The 18,225-nt window shown below is 46.1% G+C and overlaps 5 annotated features.

Annotated features, from left to right (window-relative positions):
• Positions 434-728: a silencer, noted in NCBI's record as "tiled region #9182; K562 Repressive non-DNase unmatched - State 9:DNaseU". NCBI's record gives its function as "represses a minimal TATA promoter and a strong SV40 promoter by Sharpr-MPRA in K562 cells {active_cell/tissue: K562}" and the evidence as "EXISTENCE:reporter gene assay evidence [ECO:0000049][PMID:27701403]".
• Positions 691-1,608: an enhancer, noted in NCBI's record as "H3K27ac hESC enhancer chr18:57514626-57515543 (GRCh37/hg19 assembly coordinates)". NCBI's record gives its function as "activates a minimal SCP1, AML or CMV promoter by ChIP-STARR-seq in naive H9 embryonic stem cells {active_cell/tissue: H9 hESC(naive)}" and the evidence as "EXISTENCE:reporter gene assay evidence [ECO:0000049][PMID:30033119]".
• Positions 693-772: an enhancer, noted in NCBI's record as "active region_13417". NCBI's record gives its function as "activates an Ori minimal core promoter by ATAC-STARR-seq in GM12878 lymphoblastoid cells {active_cell/tissue: GM12878}" and the evidence as "EXISTENCE:reporter gene assay evidence [ECO:0000049][PMID:35858748]".
• Positions 853-1,032: an enhancer, noted in NCBI's record as "active region_13418". NCBI's record gives its function as "activates an Ori minimal core promoter by ATAC-STARR-seq in GM12878 lymphoblastoid cells {active_cell/tissue: GM12878}" and the evidence as "EXISTENCE:reporter gene assay evidence [ECO:0000049][PMID:35858748]".
• Positions 17,474-17,768: a silencer, noted in NCBI's record as "tiled region #560; K562 Repressive non-DNase unmatched - State 23:Low". NCBI's record gives its function as "represses a minimal TATA promoter and a strong SV40 promoter by Sharpr-MPRA in K562 cells {active_cell/tissue: K562}" and the evidence as "EXISTENCE:reporter gene assay evidence [ECO:0000049][PMID:27701403]".

Genomic DNA, 18,225 nt, shown 5'->3' on the forward strand with positions numbered 1-18,225 from the left:
TTAAAAACACTCACAAAATAAATTATGACTGCTAGAAAATTAAAAACAAAAAACAGTAGAAGCCAGGTGCAGTGACTCATGCCTGTAATCCCAGCACTTTGGGAAGCTGAGGCAGGTGGATCACTTGAGGTCAGGAGTTCGAGACCAGCCTGGCCAACACGGTGAAACCCAGTCTCTTCCAAAAATACAAAAATTAGCCGGGCGTGGTATGTGCCCCAGTAATCCCAGCTACTAGGGAGGCTGAGGCAGGAGAATCGCTTGAACCCGGGAGGCAGAGGTTGCAGTGAGCTGAGACTGCACCACTGTACTACAGCCTGGGCAACAGAGCAAGACTCTTTCTCAAAACAAAAACAAACAAAAAAACCAAAAACAATTGGTCCATGGTTCCTGATAGGCTGTGTAGTCTGGTAATAGACATAGGTTTGAAGCTGTATGAAGAATATCTTTCAGTAGCTTTGGGGATGATTTAATCTTATTTGGAGAGAACATTAAGGATTCGAATTTGAGGCTGTTCCTAAGTGTGAAGCCTGAGTCACCGCCCCTCCCAGTGTGGACCTAGATCAGAAAGCACTATTTACATACAAAGATCTCTGCCTCCGCCCCTGCCTTGGGGCTGTTCTCTGCCCTGGGCAGGGAAATTCCCTCTGGTCAAAACATCCTGCAAGGCATGGAAAGCAAAAGCATAAACTGCAGTTCAAATCCACAAATACCCCTTTTCTGGTATCTCCTTAATCCCTTCTGTTCATCACAGTTTAGTTTACAAAATTATTGCTTTGGAAGTCACAGCTGGAACAAGTCTGAGCTGGTAATGTCCAGTAGGACAGAAAACAGAAAGCGAGGGCCAGCGCGGTGGCTCAAGCCTGTAATCCCAGCACTTTGGGAGGCCGAGATGGGTGGATCACTTGAGGCCAGAAGTTCAAAACTAGCCTGGCCCACATGGGAAAACCCCATCTCTACTAAAAATACAAAAATCAGCCAAGTGTCATGGCAGGCACCTGTAGTCCCAGCTACTTGGGAGGCCAAGGCAGGAGAATTGCTTGAACCCAGGAGGTGGAGGATGCAGTGAGCCGAGATCATGCTACTGTACTCCAGCCAGGGCAACAGAGTGAGCAGAAAGAAAGAGAGAAAGTGAGAGAGCAAAGCGAGAAAGCAAAGCAAGAAAGCAAGCAACGCCTGGCTGGTTGCTGGAAAGGGAGCCTGGTGTGAGCGGACAGGGAGACCCCAGGCAGCTAGGGCTCTTATTGGGTCCCCTTGAGGACCATTTGGGTTCCAAGATGGAGCCTTGACACTAGGGTGAGGGAGGGTGTCCAAAGGTAAGGGAACACAAAGGGAAAAGTGGGGGGATCCTAGAAAACATTTCACTTACTTCACTCTGCTCCACGTGCTTTCTGGGAAACCATAAAACTGTTGGGCTAAAGAGACTCCAATTTAGTACTCAGGGAGGCGGAATTTCCCTTTGCTATCTCACCTGATGAACTCTGACGTCATAGGATACTGGTTGGCTAACTGGTCTTTCCTCTGTGCAAGCCTCATTTCACTCCCCACCTGGCCCTGGTCCCACTCAACTCAGGAGAGAGGCAGGTGGGCAGCAGGTGTTACCACGTCTCAGAAGATCTGTTACCCCTTAGATCCTTTACACCAAAGCCCAAGGCAATTGTCTTCATGCAGAAAGCACAGCTGAAACATTAAATACCTCACCCAGGAAAGTGGCGACTTGTGGGGAGGCAAGGGAAGGAGACTGGATGGTGGGGGGAAGGAAACTTAAAACCTAGCTTAAAAAGGTTAATTGTTCAGCTGGATGGCATGGTTACAAATGTCCACTGTGCAGCACGAGGTCTAAAAGATTTCATAATATGTTTTAAGTATACCATACTTCAGTGCAAACTTTGGAATGCATAGTTCTGTGATTTTAGTTCAATTCCAGAAGCATATATAGCCATGAAGGAAGCTTGAGCTATGAGTTAATAGGACCCAGGTGCCTAAGTTGCTGACCAGTCCTGTAACTTTGGGCAAAGCACTCTGCCCTCTGTGCTTCAATATCCCCATCTTAGGTGGGCACTATGCTATGGGAGGGTAAGGCGGAGGATCACATGAGACCAGGAGTGGGAGACCAGCCTAGGCAACACAGGGAGACCCTGTTTCTAGAAAACTTTTTTTTTTTTCTGAGACAGAGTTTCTCTCTGTCACCCAGGCTGCAGCACAGTGGTACAATCACTGATCACTGCAGCCTTGAACTCCTGGGCTCAAGCCATCCTCCCACCTCAGCCTCCCGAATACCTGGGACTACAATGCCGGGCCACCATGCCAGGCTAATTTTCTTTTTTGGGGGGTGGTGGGGGTAGAGATGGGCTTTCACCATGTTTCCCAGGCTGGTCTCAAACTCCTGAGCTCAAGTAATCGGCCTGTCTTGGCCTGCCAAAGTGCTGGGATTACAGGTGTGAGCTAGCTCACCCGGCCAAAAAGTCTTTTTAAAAATTAGCTGGCTTGGGCCGGGGCGCGGTGTCTCAAGCCTGTCATCCCAGCACTTTGGGAGGCCGAGGTGGGCGGATCACAAGGTGAGGAGATGGAGACCATCCTGGCTAACACGGTGAAACCCCGTCTCTACTAAAAATACAAAAAAATTAGCTGGGCATGGTGGCGGGCGCCTGTAGTCCCAGCTACTCGGGAGGCTGAGGCAGGAGAATGGCGTGAACCCGGGAGGCAGAGCTTTCAGTGAGCCGAGGTCGCGCCACTGCACTCCAGCCTGAGTGACAGAGCGAGACTCTGTCTCAAAAAAAAAAAGAAAAAAAAAATTAGCAGGGCGCGGTGGCGGGCGCCAGTAGTCCCAGCTACTCAGGAGGCTGAGGCAGGAGAATGGCGTGAACCCGAGAGGCAGAGCTTGCAGTGAGCCGAGATCGTGCCACTGCACTCCAGCCTGGGCCACAGAGCGAGACTCCATCTCAAAAAAGAAAAAAAAAAAAATTAGCTGACTTGTGTCTCAGAGAGGACATCAAAAAAAAAAAAAAAAAAAAAAAAAAAAAAGAGGAAGAAGAAGAAGAAGAAGAAGAAGAAGAAATTAGCCGAGCGTGGTGGTATTGGACTGTGGTCCCAGCTACTTGGAAGTCTGAGGCAGGAGGATCACTCAAGCCCAGGAGTTGGAGGCTGTAGTGAGCTATGATCACACCACTGCAGTCTAGGTGAAAAAAGTGAGAACCTGTCTCTAAATAAATGCATAAAAATAAATACAAACAAAAACAAAATTAAAACCTCCATCTTTAAAGGGGGGAAAACCTTGTTCTGCCCACTTCTCAGAAGAATCATGCAAGGAAGTTCTGTAAAAAACCTAAAGCGGCTGCGCACGGTGGCTCATGCCTATAATCCCAGCACTTTGGGAGGCCAAGGCGGGTGGATCACGTGAGGTCAGGAGATCAAGACCAGCCCGACCAACATGGTGAAACCCCGTTTCTACAAAAAATACAAAAATTAGCTGGGCGTGGCAGCAGGCTCCTGCAGTCCCAGCTACTTGGGAGGCTGAAGAATGAGAATCACTTGAACCTGGGAGGCAGAGGCTGCCGTGAGACGGGATCATGTCGCTGCACTCCAGCCTGGGTGACAAAACGAGACTCTCTCAAAAAAAAAAAAAAAAAAGAGCAACGTATAAATGCAAGCCATTCTATGTTTTATTTGGGGTCTGGACTATCCGTGATGTTAAACTCACAATTGCTGGATCTTTAGGTTACTGGCCTAAGGGCTTTTGTAGGGGAAAGATGGTGTTGAATGATGGAGGAGAATAACATGGTTCCCAAATCATAAACTGAGTTACAGGCCTCCTGGTCATCACCACTTCTGCGTTATTCTCATTTCTGTTCTCAACTCTTCTGTAAGTCTTTCTGCAAAACAGCAGCTTTGGGAGAAATTGAATAGTTCTCATCTCACTCTTTTGTGCATGGTGGGGAAGGCAATATAATTATTTTTCCCCTAAGCATGTACTTAAAAAGTAAACCATTTTAAAGTTTTCTCTATCTCTCCCTAAAGCATTTTCACCTTCAGAAGTTTATGTGTCTGAGTCATGGCTATAAAATCACATGGATTTATTTTTAAAATGCATTGTGATTTCTACCAGATTAATATCACTTTAAAACAGCCGCTTTGGGAAGCTCTATTTCTTACCTATGCTCTTTACTTTGTTTAAAACATGTCTGAAACTCTTCTGGGGTGGCTTTCAGAATATATTTACAGACTGCACAAGAAAAGGAATTCTCTGGGCCCAAACTGGGTTTTAGATCCAAACAGTGTTGCCCAGATGGAGCACCCACGTTACTGAAAGAATAAACTCCAAGTTGTTTACAGAAAGCAAAGCTCCAAAGAAAAAAGATTTCTCACCCTAGACGATATCCAAAGAATAAACTCCGGGCTCAGAAAAGTTTCCAGAACTTTCTTGGCAATGATAGCATTGACTGAACCATAAGGACAACCCACAAAGTAACTACCCTTACCTGGATATAAAAGTTTTAGATCAGCTTCTTTTAAAATTGGGCTTTTACATTTTATAATTATTTTTAACAAATTTTTTTCTGTAGCATGAACTAATGAGAGCATCAGTATTTTTGATAGCTTGTAAATTGAACCAGTGATAAAATGATACTAGAATTTGCTTTTGGGCAGATAAACTCCTAGATTAATCAGACCAATAGACAATGACAAAGCACATTTTCAATAATGTAGGCACTAGTGTTACATTTTCTATCTGAAAAGTGAATTTTAGTGGTGGCTCACACCTGTAATCCCGGCACTTTGGGAGGCCAAGGCGGGTGGATCACCTGAGGTCAGGAGTTCAAGACCAGCCTGGTCAACTGGGTGAAACTCTGTATTTACTGAAAATATAAAAATTAGTAGGGCATGGTGGTGTGCTCCTGTAATCCCAGCTACTCTGGAGGCTGAGGCAGGAGAATTGCTACTCCAGCCTGGGCGACAGAGCAAGACTCCGTCTAAAAAAAAAAAGGCTGTGTGTCTACGCGTATCAATGTATATTAAGAGATTTAGAGAGTGGGGCAGATGCTCATGTTCCTCCTTGCCTCCTGCCAAAAAAAAAAAAAAAAAAAGACATTTCACTGTTTTGAATGAGAAAATGATTCTGATCAACAGTCTAACAACAAATGGACTCTGAGCAGGGTTAGGAGATCTAGCTGACCTCCATTGCCGCTGGGGAGATTTCATCCAGGACAAAGCCTGACTCTGAAAGTCAGCTCGTTAAAGTACATCATAAAACTTTGACTGTTCCTTTTGGAGACCTGGCTAAGCCAACCAGATAATAAAAGACAGATTTATAAGCCTGGTGCCTGCTGGCACCTCAGTAATTCTAAGTAGCTTGGAGAGGCTCCTAGACGCTTTATTGGTCCTTAGTGGACCAATCATCAATAATGAAGGGTCAGGCAGGAAGGCTCTCGTCTTGTGTCCCTTGACCACCTGGGCTGTGTCAACCTTCAGCTCCCGTTACAGTGCTTCCCACTTCACGAGGCTGCCTCTCCAAGACACAATGTTCCCTAGGCCCTCCAAAAATTATCTTTGCAATTCCGAGAACTTTCTAAATTTAGTTAAAACAGCAACAGACACAGAAATGGACACCACATTGATCATTTCTGGTTACGACCACTCAGGCAAAATGTTAGTACAGTACAAGAAATGGCAGGAGGTGGTGTCACATAACAGCCACCATTGGGAAGGCCAACCCAGGGGTATCCCGAGCACTTGGCAGAGCACAGGATAGCTGAAGAGGAAGAGACTACTTGGGATGCCATATTGTACATATTTATACTGCCTGCCGCCTGCCCCCCTTCAGGTGAAAGTCAAACTGGAATATTTAGATCTGTTCCTAGAGACTGGGGGAAATTCAGGAAACTGCCGAGCCTCCATTTCTTCATCAATAAGGTGAAGCAGAGTATTTGTTGCATGAGAAAACATCCCTAAAGTTCTCTAAGGATTGATCCCTCCCTCCCTTTCTCCTTCCTTCCTTCCTTCCCTCCCTTTCTTTCTTTCTCCCTTCTCTCCTCCCTCCCTCCTTCCTTCCCTCCTCCTCTCTCCCTTCCTTTCTTCCTTCCTTCCTTTCTTTGCTTCCTTCCTTCCATCCTTCCTCCCTCCCTCCCTTCCTTTCCTTCCCTTTCTTTCCTTCTTTTCTTCCTTCCTTGGCCACTAGGTCTGGCGCTGAAAACTTATTTGTGCCCTAGGCCCAAAATTGAGTTCCTATCTGATCCCCAAGATCCAAACACTGTTGCCTAGATGGACCACCCGCATTACAGAAAGAATGAACTCCAAGTCGTTTAAGGATTGATCCCAAGATGTGGTCCCTTCTTTTTTCTTCAGTCCTGGTAACTGGGTCTCCATCTTTTATTCTGTCTTGAATGTCCGGCCAGCACTCATCTAAAATTCCCTTGCTCTGCTCTTGTCATTCCCTGTTTTAGAAAGGAAGTCCTGTTTCTGACACCTGGATGGTGGCCCTGCTACCTGCCACACACTCCAGATGTTGCTTGCCTGCCCTTTACCCTCCTGAGTACCGACTGCTCTTCTTCAGCTATCCCTGTGCTATGTCTAGTTCTCAGGATATCCCCGGGTTGGCCTTCCTGATGGTGATGGTTATGTGACTCCACCTGCTGCTATCTCTTGTACTGTGCTAACATTTTGCTCTAGTGATCATAACAAGAATTGAGCAAGTGTTTCAGGATTCCTAGGTCATAAGCTCCTTCACGTCAGGAACAGACTGTCAATCAGCATTTTATATCCAGGGTCTGAGTACTGGGCTCACCCAAAATAGATGCATGAACTCTTGGCTTACGGATGGAAGAGTGCTGTGATTATTGTGTTCTCCCTAGGGCCCACACCTGGGTCTTTCATGCAAGAGTTCCCATGGGGTTCTGTTGTTCTGCTTAAGTAATGCTATAATCAGGCTTCTAGATACCACTATCAAAGCACTCAGTAGACAGGAATAAAACTCAGTGTGCTCATGGGCATTCGTTTATTTTACAAATATTTACTGAGTGTTTGTTGTTATTGTTTGTTTTGTTTTTGTTTTTGTTTTTGTTTTGAGATGGAGTCTGCTGGCCAGGCTCGGTGGTTTACACCTGTAATCCCAGCACTTTGGGAGGCAGAGGCAGGCGGATCACCTAAGGTCAGGAGTTTGAGACCAGCCTGACCAACATGGTGAAACCCCGTCTCTACTAAAAATACAAAATTAGCTGGTTGTGGTGGCACATGCCTGTAATCCCAGCTACTCGGGAGGCTGAGGCACGAGAATTGCTTGAACTCGGGAGGCAGGGGTTGCAGTGAGCCGAGATCATGCCATTGCACTCCAGCCTGGGCAACAAGAGTGAAACTCCATCTCAAAAAAAAAAAAAACAAAAAAAACAAGAGATGGAGTCTGCTCTACCACCTAGGCTGGAGTGCAGTAGTGTGATAAAGCCTCATTGCATTCTTGACCTCCAGGGCTCAAGTGATCTGCCCGCCTTAGCCTCTCAAAGTGCTGGGATTACAGGCCTGAGCCACTGTGCTTGGCCTTGAGTGTTTTACTGTGTGTCAGGTTGTGCCAAGTATAACCTGCGTAAAATTATGTGTCCCCTGATAGCGGAATTGACTGGAGCAGGAGTTCTCAAACACCAGAATCAACAGGGGATTTTGTGCAGCTCTGAGGTGGGGGCCAAAATTCTGCATTTCCCGCAGATCCCTGCTGATGCTGAGGCTAACTGGCATAGACAGGATCAAAGTGCTCCTCATAGTGTGCTCTCTGGGACCAGGAGCTCCCTGGACCACCTGGGAGCATGTTAGAAATGCAGATTCTTAGGCCCCATACCTGAACTACTGCACTAGAAACTTGGCTATGGAGCCCAGCAAGCAAGCCGTCCTGTGATTCTGATGCACGCCGAGTGCGGGACCCCTGGTCTGGAGCTGGCCTCCTCAACCTGGGCTGTACGTTAGCATCGTCTGGGGGAGCTTTCAAACAATGCAGGCCTCCAACCCAGGCACAATGAATCACATCTCTGTAGGTGAGGTCTGCCATCAGAAATTTTTTTTAAAAGATAAGGTCTCCCTCTGTCCCGGGCTAGAGTGCAATGGTGAGATCAAACAAAGTAGCTCATTGCAGCCTCGAACTCGTGTGCTGAAGCTCCTGCCTTGACCTCCCAAGTAGCTGGGACCAGAGGCATGCACCACTATGCCCAGCTAATTATTTGATTTCTCTGTAGAGATGAGGTCTCACTATGTTGCCCAGGTTGGTCTCGAACTCTTGGGCTCAAGCAATCCTCCTGTCTTGGCCTCCCAAATTGCTGGGGTTACAGGAGTGAGCCACCCCACCTGGCTGATTTTCTATTGTTTAAGTTGCCTGGTTTGTGGCACTTTGTTGTGGCAGCCCCAGGAAACTGACACAGCGCCCCTGTGTTTTGTTCCCAGAGCGCCCTGTTGTCACTCTGTGTTACTGCCTGTTGCTGTCTGCTTCTCCCAGCCCCTTCCTTCCTTCCTTCCTTCCTTCCTTCCTTCCTTCCTTCCTTCCTTCCTTTCTCTTTCTTTCTCTTTCTTTCTTTCTTTCTTTCTTTCTTTCTTTCTTTCTTTCTTTCTTTCTTTCTTTCCTTATTTCTCTTCTCTTCTCCTTCCTTCCTTCCCTTTCTCTCTCTTTCTCTCTCCTTTCTTCCTTCCTTCTCTCTTTCTTCTTTTTTTTTTTCTTGACAGAGTCTTGCTCTGTCACCCAGGCTGGAGTGCAATGGCTTGCTCTCAGCTCACTGCAACCTCTGCCTCCTGGTTCAAGCGATTCTCCTGCTCAGTCTCCTGAGTAGCTGGGACTACAGGTGTATGCCACCGTGCCTGGCTAATTTTGTTTTTTTGTTTTGTTTTGCTTTTTGGTTTTTAGTGGGGATGGGATTTCACCATGTTGGCCAGGCTGGTCTTGAACTCCTGGCCTCAGGTGATCTGCCTGCCTCGGCCTCCCAAAGTGCTGGGATTACAGGTGTGAGCCACCACACCCAGTCTAGCCCATTTCTTGAAAAGGGCTCCACCTTTCATTGCTACATCCCCAGCAACCAATTTAGGGCCCAGCAGAGGACAAACAGCTGCTGAGTAGCTAACGACTGGAAGGGGAAGAGGGTACCATTTTGAGGAAGAGAAATACAGTTATTCTGTGAGGCTTCAGCAGGTGCCATCAGAACAACGTGGTGGATGTAGTGAAGACTGTTGAGTGCCGGCGAGTGCTCCATTTCACAGAGTCCTGACTCGGCTTACAAGCACCATGGCCCTGGGTAGATCCCACAGCCCTGCTGAGCCTCCATTTCCTCATCTGTCAAATGAAACAGATGATCATTGCATGACGAGTCACTGTTAAACTTAATGCTTCGTCACTACAGAAGATCATAAAGGATGTAACCAGAGGCCTAAAGGATGTAACCAGTGAACACATGCTGCATTGGACACTGTTTTGGACAAACTTGGATGTTCAGGTCCATTTAGGATGTTCCAATACTAGGGGATACACACACATTCATGCGTGCACACACACACACACACACACACACTCCAAAAGGTGATCATTCTCTAAATATGTTTTGGCAACATGTTTAAGTTTATTGAGATAGAATTCGTATACCATAAAACTCACCCCTTTAAAGTGTGCAATTCAGCTAGGTGCAGTGGCTCATGCATGTAATCCCAGCACTTTGGGAGGCTGAAGCGGGCAGATCATGAAGTCAGGAGTTCGAGAACAGCCTGTTCCAACATGGAAAAACCCCATCTCTGCTAAAAATACAAAAATTAGCTGGGCTTGGTGGCGCATGCCTGTAATCCCAGCTACTCAGGAGGCTGAGGCAAGAGAATCGCTTGAACCTGGGAGGTAGAATTGCAGTTAGCTGAGATCGTACCACTGCACTCCAACCTGGGTGACAGAGCGAGACTCTATCTCAAAAAGAAACTAATTTTAAAAAGTGTACAATTCACTTTGTTGCTTTATGTATACACACATACACACACACACACACACACACACACACACACAACACATGGTTAGAAATAGTGTCCACAAGTAAGGGCTCTAAGGTGTAATAACAGCGATCTGAGTGTCTGAGAGGTGAAAGATTAGTGGTCTTATTTTTAATTTTATGCCTGCATTTTCCAGGCTTCTATGATGTAAATGTTCTGTTCATGTAATGACAAAGAGTTCTAAAAAATAATTCATATGACAGGAAAATAATCATGATTTATGTTCTAAGATTAAGGTAAAGAAAAGTAATATATAAAACAGCATATGCAGAGTGATATCAATTTGTAAAACACACATATACTCACACACATACACATAAATGCAAAGAAAAAAGGAAGGAAAACACAGCACTTGGTAAACTTAACAGAAAAGTTGAACGATGCAATTCCAGAAAGGAAAACATCACTAACTTCTTTCTTGAGCCAAATGGTTGAAATCTCTCAACAATTTTCTTATAACATGCATTCTTTTAATATACAAAAAAGACATCAACAAGTTTTGTTTTGTTTTACTACAGGATGGTGGGGTTAGTTGAGACTTATTTTCTTTTGATATCTTTCTGCATTTTCTGACTCAAGTGAGGATCTTTTATTTTTAAATTTATTTATTTATTATATTTTAAAGACAGGATACTGCTCTGTCACCCAGGCTGGAGTGCAGTGGTGCCATCCTAGCTCAATACAGCTTGGAACTCCTATGCTCAAGTGATCCTCCCACCTTAGCTTCCTGAGTAGCTGAGACTTCAGGTACGTCGTGCCCCACTCCTGGCTAAAACTCCTCCTGTTTCAGGACTCCTGAGGCAACTGGTTTTGCGTCTCAGAAGGGATCACCCTCACTAGTGTATGTCTTTCACCTTTCATCAGCCACTTCCCCTCTCTTGCCAACGCGATGGCAGAAACCATTTCTGTCCCTGTGAACTGGGCTCTTTTCCCCAGGTAGCCACAGATGAACATGAGTTGGATGAAACCAGGAATATAGCGTAGACCCCTCTGTAGACTCCTCAGTGTCATCAAGGCAGGGGCTGAAGCTGTCCCCACTTTGCAGTTTCCCCTTTCCCCTCATCACAGGGGACTGTGGCATCCGCAGGGGGTGACAGAAATCCCCTCAAGGAAAAGAGTAAACCAGGTCAACCATATCAGAGGAAAGGGTCTGTATGTGTAGATTCTGGAAGGTTGACAGGGGAACTGTGAATTCAGGTTCCTTTCAAAGGCAGTGGTTTGGGTGAGGTGAGCCTGCAGGGATTTTGCAGCAAATAGTTCTAGTATATTGTTCCCAGCACCACAATCTTCAAAAAGCAATACCTGGTTGGATGTAGTGGCTCATGCCTGTAATCCCAGCACTTTGGGAGGCCAAGGCAGGCAGATCACTTAAGGTCAGGAGTTCGAGACCAGCCTGGCCAACATGTTGAAACCCTGTCTCTACTAAAAATACAAAAATTAGCCAAGCCTAGTGGCGCACACCTGTAATCCCAGCTACTTGGGAGGAAGAGGCATGAGAATCACTTGAACCCAGGAGGCGGAGGCTTCAGTGAGCCGAGATCGTGCCATTGCACTCCAACCTGGGCGACAGAGCAAGACTCCATTTCAATTAAAAAAGAAATGCAATAGCTGACAATTGCTTAATATGCAACCATTGCAGAGAAGGTGACCTGGGTGAAGGGTACAGAGAAGCTCTCTGTAGTACTTTTGCAACTTCCTATGGATCTATAATTATTTCAAGATAGTTTAAAAAAAAAAAAAAACAGGTGCTGGGTGCACTTTGCCAAACTCTGATATAGGTCATTATTTTGGACTCTATGCTGAAAACAAGAGAGACACAAAAGCGTCTGTGTGCACTGGGCATCTGGATGTGTTTCTACTGTGCTCTTTTCACCCTATCTTCTGCCAGCATCTCTCTATCACCCTACAAGACGGCTGATTGATATAGGCTGTGCCATTAAGTTGCGGAGGATGAAGTCCTGTCACAGAAATAAAGAAGCCAAACTTTCTTTCTTTTCTTTTTTTTTGAGACGGAGTCTCGCTGTGTCACCAAGCTGGAGTGCAGTGGCACGATCTCGGCTCACTGCAACCATTGCCTCCCGGGTTCAAGTGATTCTCCTGCCTCAGCCTCCCGAGTAGCTGGGACTACAGGTGCATGCCGTCATGCCTGGCTAATTTTTGTATTTTTAGTAGAGACCAGGTTTCACCATGTTGGCCAGGATGGTCTCGATCTCTTGACCTTGTGATCCACCCGCCTCGGCCTTCCAAAGTGCTGGGATTACAGGAGTGAGCCACTGCACCTGTCCAGAAGCCAGACTTTCTAAAGTCCAGGAGAAGAAAAAAGAACAACTCCCCTGCCATTCTTTAATTCATATTTTTGCAGGTGTTTTTGTTCCCCAATTGTTTTTTTTATGGGATTAATTTGTTTAGCAGCAAAGATTTTATTTTTTTCAAAAAAAAAAATGGGGGGGTAGGAGTTGCAGTGGCTCACACCTGTAATCCCAGCATGTTGGGAAGCTGAGGCTGGAGAATGGCTTGAGCCTGTGAGTTCAAGACAAACCTGGGCAACACAGTGAGATCCCATCTCTCTTTTTTCCTTTTTTGAGACAGAGTCTTGCTCCGTTGCCCAGGCTGGAGTGCAGTGGTGCAATCTCGGCGCACTGCAACCTCTGCCTCCTGGGTTCAAGCCATTCTCCTGCCTCAGCCTCCTGAGTAGCTGGGACTACAAGCGCCGACCACCATGCCCGACTTTTCTATTTTGTTATAGAGATGGGGTTTCGCCATGTTGGCCAGGCTGGTCTTGAACTCCTGACCTCAGGTGATCCGCCTGCCTTGGCCTCACAACGTATTAGGATTACAGGCATGAGCCACCGTGCCTGGCCCAAGATCCCTTCTCTAAAAAAAAAACCAAAAAGCAATAGCTGATTCTGGAGACTGAAGAAGCTGGGAGATGCGGCATCTAAACAGCAACTGGTTTAAATGACATTAACTTTAGGCCCATGTTGTGGGTTGAGTTGTGTCCCATCTGAATGATGGTGAAGGCCTAACCCCCAGCACCTGTGAATTTGACCTTACTTGGAAATAGGGTCTTTGTAGATGATGTTGTTCAGATGAGTCATTAGGGTGAGCCCTAATCCAAAGTGCCTGGTATCCTTATTAAAAGGGGTTCTTTAGACAAAGAGACAGGCACACACAGGGAGAAAAGCCACATGAGGAAGGAGACAGCTGTTGGAGTGATGCTTCTAGAATCCAAGAACACCCAGGATTGCCAGTAAAACACCAGAAGCTAGGCGAGAGGTATGAACAGGTTCTCCCTCACAACTCTCAGAAGGAAACAACCATGCCAGTACCTTGATTTTGGACTTCTAGCCTCCGGAGCTCTGAGACAATGCATTTCTATTACATGAAGCCACCCAACTGTAGCAGCTCTAGCATAAATGAATACAGCCTGGCCCACCTGGAAGCCCTTAGTAGACTTCCTTCCTTTATAAGACAGCACCATCATGATCTATGCCATCTGTCTTCCAGGACAGCTGTGAAAAATAAAGTATTTCTTAAGCATGCATCATTTGAGGCATTGGGATAGTGAATAAGAAAGCATTTAATAAGAATAAAAGAGCAGAGCATAAGATATTACTATTTCCTTTTACCTCAACTGAGCCATAGCAGAGAATGGATGCAAGATGCAGATAAATTTAGAATTAGGAGGCCGAGCATGGTGGCTGACGCCTGTAATCCCAGCAATTTGGGAGGCCAAGGTGGGCGGATCACCTGAGGTCAGGAGTTCAAGGCCAGACTGGCCAACATGGTGAAACCCTGCCTCCACTAAAAATACAAAAATTAGCTGGGTGTGGTGGCACACACTTGTAACCCCAGCTACTCGGGAGGCTGAGGCAGGAGAATCACTTGAACCTGGAAGATGGAGTTTGCAGTGAGCTGAGATTGATTGTACCACTGCACTCCAGCCTGGGCGACAGAGCAAGACTGTTGCAAAAACAAAAAAAACAAAACAAAAGATTAGAATTAGGGGCAAATTCCAGCAAATATTCTTTATAGGACAAGCATTTTCAAAGTACTCCTTGTAACAATGATAATCCCAGGGGCTACCGAGCACATGTTATGTACTAAGTGCTTTATGTACACTATGTGCATGATCTCAACACATACAGCTGCCCAGTGAGGTAAGTGCTGCTCTTATTCCTTCTTTAAGACAAAGGAAATTAGGATTAAGTAGTCTGTGCAAGGCTGCAGGGCTGTGTCATGGTTGAGGCATGATTTGAACCCTTGCCTCTGAGGACATTCTATTAACCTCTGTGAGTCTTGTTTCTCCAGCAGCTTAACAGCTATAGTTAGAAGAAATATGCAGCAGTAGCAATACTCTAAAAGTGGAATTTAAAAAAACAATCTATACACATTGTTATCAGTTCATAAATTAATCAAGGTTCCTGTGACTACACAGAGGGTGACGAGTAAACCCTTCTTCCTAGAAAGAGAGAGTTTTCCTGGATTAAATTATCTACTCTGTTTCAGGAGTGAATCACCCCAGGGTTAGGGATTTGAGGCTGAAGAGAGATAGCAGCTGAACATTTCTGGACTCTGGCAGAGACGGGTAGAAATGAGGTCATTCTAGATTCGAGATTATTTTAGATCTTTCTAGGGGCAGAGCTAAGAGACCAACACTCTTCTCAGGGATTCACTGAGGGAAGACCGAGGCCAGCCATGGGGTCTGATCAAAAGTTCCTTACAGGCCGGGCGCAGTGGCTCACACCTGTAATCCCAGCACTTTGGGAGGCCGAGGCAGGCAGATCACGAGGTCAGGAGTTCAAGACCATCCTGGCTAACACGGTGAAACCCCCTCTCTACCAAAAATACAAAAAAAAAAAAATTAGCCGGGCGCGGTGGCGGGTGCCTGTAGTCCCAGCCACTCGGGAGGCTGAGGCAGGAGAATGGCGTGAACCGGGGAGGCGGAGCTTGCAGTGAGCCGAGATCGTGCCACTGCACTCCAGCCTGGGTGACAGAGCGAGACTCTGTCTCAAAAAAAAAAAATTCCTTACAGTTCTGCGGACTTCTGTTAGCAGCTGAGAGACTAAGGCAGAATTAGGGGGAACAACTGCTATCTCAGACAATTTCCATATACCCTTCCTTTACCTGTCTCAGAAGGACTAACTTTGAATTTCAGTTTGGAAATGCATGATTTTTCCCCTAACTTGACATCAATACTTGATTGTTTCAATTGCTTTTTAGAATTCCAAGGCAGGAGGCAGGCGGGGTGGGCAGCCAGCAGCCTTGTGGGTCACTGGCCTTCAACATGGTGTCAAGGGTCCAATGTCCAGGCTAAGGGGAGATGGCCAACCAAGGACTTTGCTGTCACCCTGTAGGGCTGTGCAGGGACTTTAAGGACAAGAAATTCACCCTCCTCTCCTGAACTTTCCAGCACTGGCTGTTTTACTAGGTCATGCATTGAACTGAGTTTTCCTGACTGCAACCTCATCTTGTGCATCTCTAGCAACTTCGGAAAGGTGGTGTAATGTAAGGAAAGCTCCAAGGGCTTTGGAGACAAACCTGCCTTAACAGGTTAGACAAACCTAACCCCAAGGGCTTAGGAGACAAACCTCACAGCCATGTGCCCCTGCCACTCACAGTTATGTGGTTTTAGGCAAATTGCCTAATTTCTTTTTCTTTTCCTTTCTTTTTTTTTTTTTTTGAGACGGAGTTCTGCTCTGTCGCCCAGGCTAGAGTGCAGTGGCGTGAACTTGGCTCACTGCAAGCTCCGCCTATAAAGTGGTTGGTAAATAGGTTTCCAGGTCCCGCTCAAGCAGAGCCAAGGTCCTAAAGAGGCAGTCATTAGTGAAACAAAAAGAGGGGCCTGGTTATCTTGGAGACCCCACAGACATCTGGCAGAAGTAGTCAAGAAGAAGGTGGGACTTCTCCAGTCCCTGGGGCACATTCAGACTTCTCCAGTGTAATTAGCCTCAGGACCAGGCCTTTCTGGCTGTAATCACAGTGCTTATTGGTGGCTGTGTTTATGTCTCCCCAGACGGTAGACACAAACTTTCATTTGGCAAAAGGCAACCATTACCCCTAAATATACTAGTAAGAGTCTCCTCTTTGCATTGAGAAAGGAGGCATCCCCCACTTAAGCACTCCCTTCCCAGTATCAAAAGGAAAGGGGTCAACAAGTGGTACTCTCCTTTAAAAAGTTTCAGACCTGGACCGGGGCAGTGGTTTAGGTCTCTAATCCCAGCACTTTGGGAGGCTCAGGCAGGAGGATCCCTTGAGCCCAGGAGTTAGAGACCAGCCTTGGTAACAGCAAGATCCCATCTCTACAAAAAATAAAAATTAAGGCCAGGTGTAGTGGCTCATGTCTGTAATACCAGCATTTTGGGAGGCCAAGGCAGATGGATCACTTGAGGTCAGGAGTTCGAGACCAGCCTGGCCAACATGGTGAAACCCCGTCTCTACTAAAAATACAAAAATTAGCCGGGCATGGTAGCACCCACCTGTAGTCCCAGCTACTCCAGAGGCTGAGCCAGGAGAATTGGTTGAACCCAGGAGGTGGAGATTGCAGTGGGCCAGGATTGTGCCAGTGTACTCCAGCATGGGTGACAGAGTGAGACCGTCTCAAAAAAAAAAAAAAAAAAAACCAATCTGGGTGTGGTGGTGTGTGCCTGTAGTCTCTCAGCTACTCAGGAGGCTGAGGTGGGAGGATTGCTCGAGCTGGGAGGTTGAGGCTGCCATGAGCTATGATCACACCACTGCACTCCAGCCTGAGTGACAGAGTGAGACCCTGCCCTCCACCCCCACCCTCCCCCAAAAAAAACCCAAAACCAAAAACCAAAAACCAGAACAACATAAACCTTTCAGACCCACAGAGGATTTTTAGAACAGTGAATATACTGTGTATACTATAATGGTGGATATATGCCATGATACATTTGTTCAAACCGATAGAATACACAACACTAAGAGTGAACCCTCATGTAAGCTACGGTATTTGGGTTTTGATAATGGCATGTGAATTCAGCCATTGTAACAAACGTGTCATGCTGGTGCCCATAGGTGAGGCTGCATAGGTGGGGACAGAGGATGTGTAAAAGATCTTTGTACCTCCCTCTTAATTTTATGTTGAGCTTAAAACTGTTCTAAAAATACAATCTTTTTTTTTTTTTTTTTTTTTTTGAGACGGAGTCTCGCTCCGTCGCCCAGGCTGGAGTGCAGTGGTGGGATCTGCGTTCGCTACCAGCTCCGCCCCCCGGGTTCATTCCATTTTCCTGCCTCAGCCTCTCGAGTAGCTGGGACCACAGGCACTCGCCACCATGCCTGGCTAATTTGTTTTTTTTGTATTTTTAGTAAAGACGGAGTTTCACCGTGTTCGCCAGGATGGTCTCGATCTCCTGACCTCGTGATCCACCCGCCTCGGCCTCCCAAAGTGCTGGGATTACAGGCATGAGCCACCGTGCCTGGCCTTAAAAATATAATCTTTAAAAAAAAGTTTCAGACCTCCTCGAGGAAAGGAGGACAGATGTCAATTTTGTCCCCAGTTGCTGAATAAATGCCCTTTGCTAACTGTCTAAATCAGCTGGAAGCGATTTACACAAAGCCAGGAGTCTTTCTGCATATTCCAGGGACTCCTGGCTGCACCTGCAGCCATCTTTAGCAAAAGCTCATCTACATAACAATGCACCAAGGCCCGGGGAAGCTTCTGGGACTGTCGTTGTTCTGTTGTGTATTCACCTTCAGTTGTATGGGAAGTGTTTTTCTATAAGGGCAAACACTTTGTTTACCACCTGGTAACAAACCTTCTGGTAAACAAAGTTTGCATCACAGATTGGATTACTCCCAGTCCCTGCTTTTCAAAACCAGCTCGGAAAGGGTGTACCTTATCTAGCAATGACTAATTGACTTTATGATACAAGTCTGAACAAAGGCCAAGGCAAGAGTTAAAAAATAATATGTCTGGCCAGGCACGGGGTTTATGCCTGTAATGCCAGCACTTTGGGAGGATGAAGTGAAAAAAAAAAAAGTCATTAAGTTTAAAAAAAAAGAAGGTGCAGGGAAAACACTATTTTAAAACAGTGCAAGTGAGATATAAGGCAGGTGAAAAGCCTAACCATGTGCTATTTATAAAGTGATTATGTGGCTATACCATTGACGATGAATAAGGAGAACTTGAGAAACTATTAGTAAACATAGTTATTATTACCTAATCTTGTTCCTAGAAAAGCCAATGGAAGTTTAGACTCAATATTCAGGTTTAAG

This window comes from Homo sapiens, chromosome 18 (genome assembly GCF_000001405.40).
Source record: "Homo sapiens chromosome 18, GRCh38.p14 Primary Assembly".
Classification (NCBI taxonomy): Eukaryota; Metazoa; Chordata; class Mammalia; order Primates; family Hominidae; genus Homo; species Homo sapiens.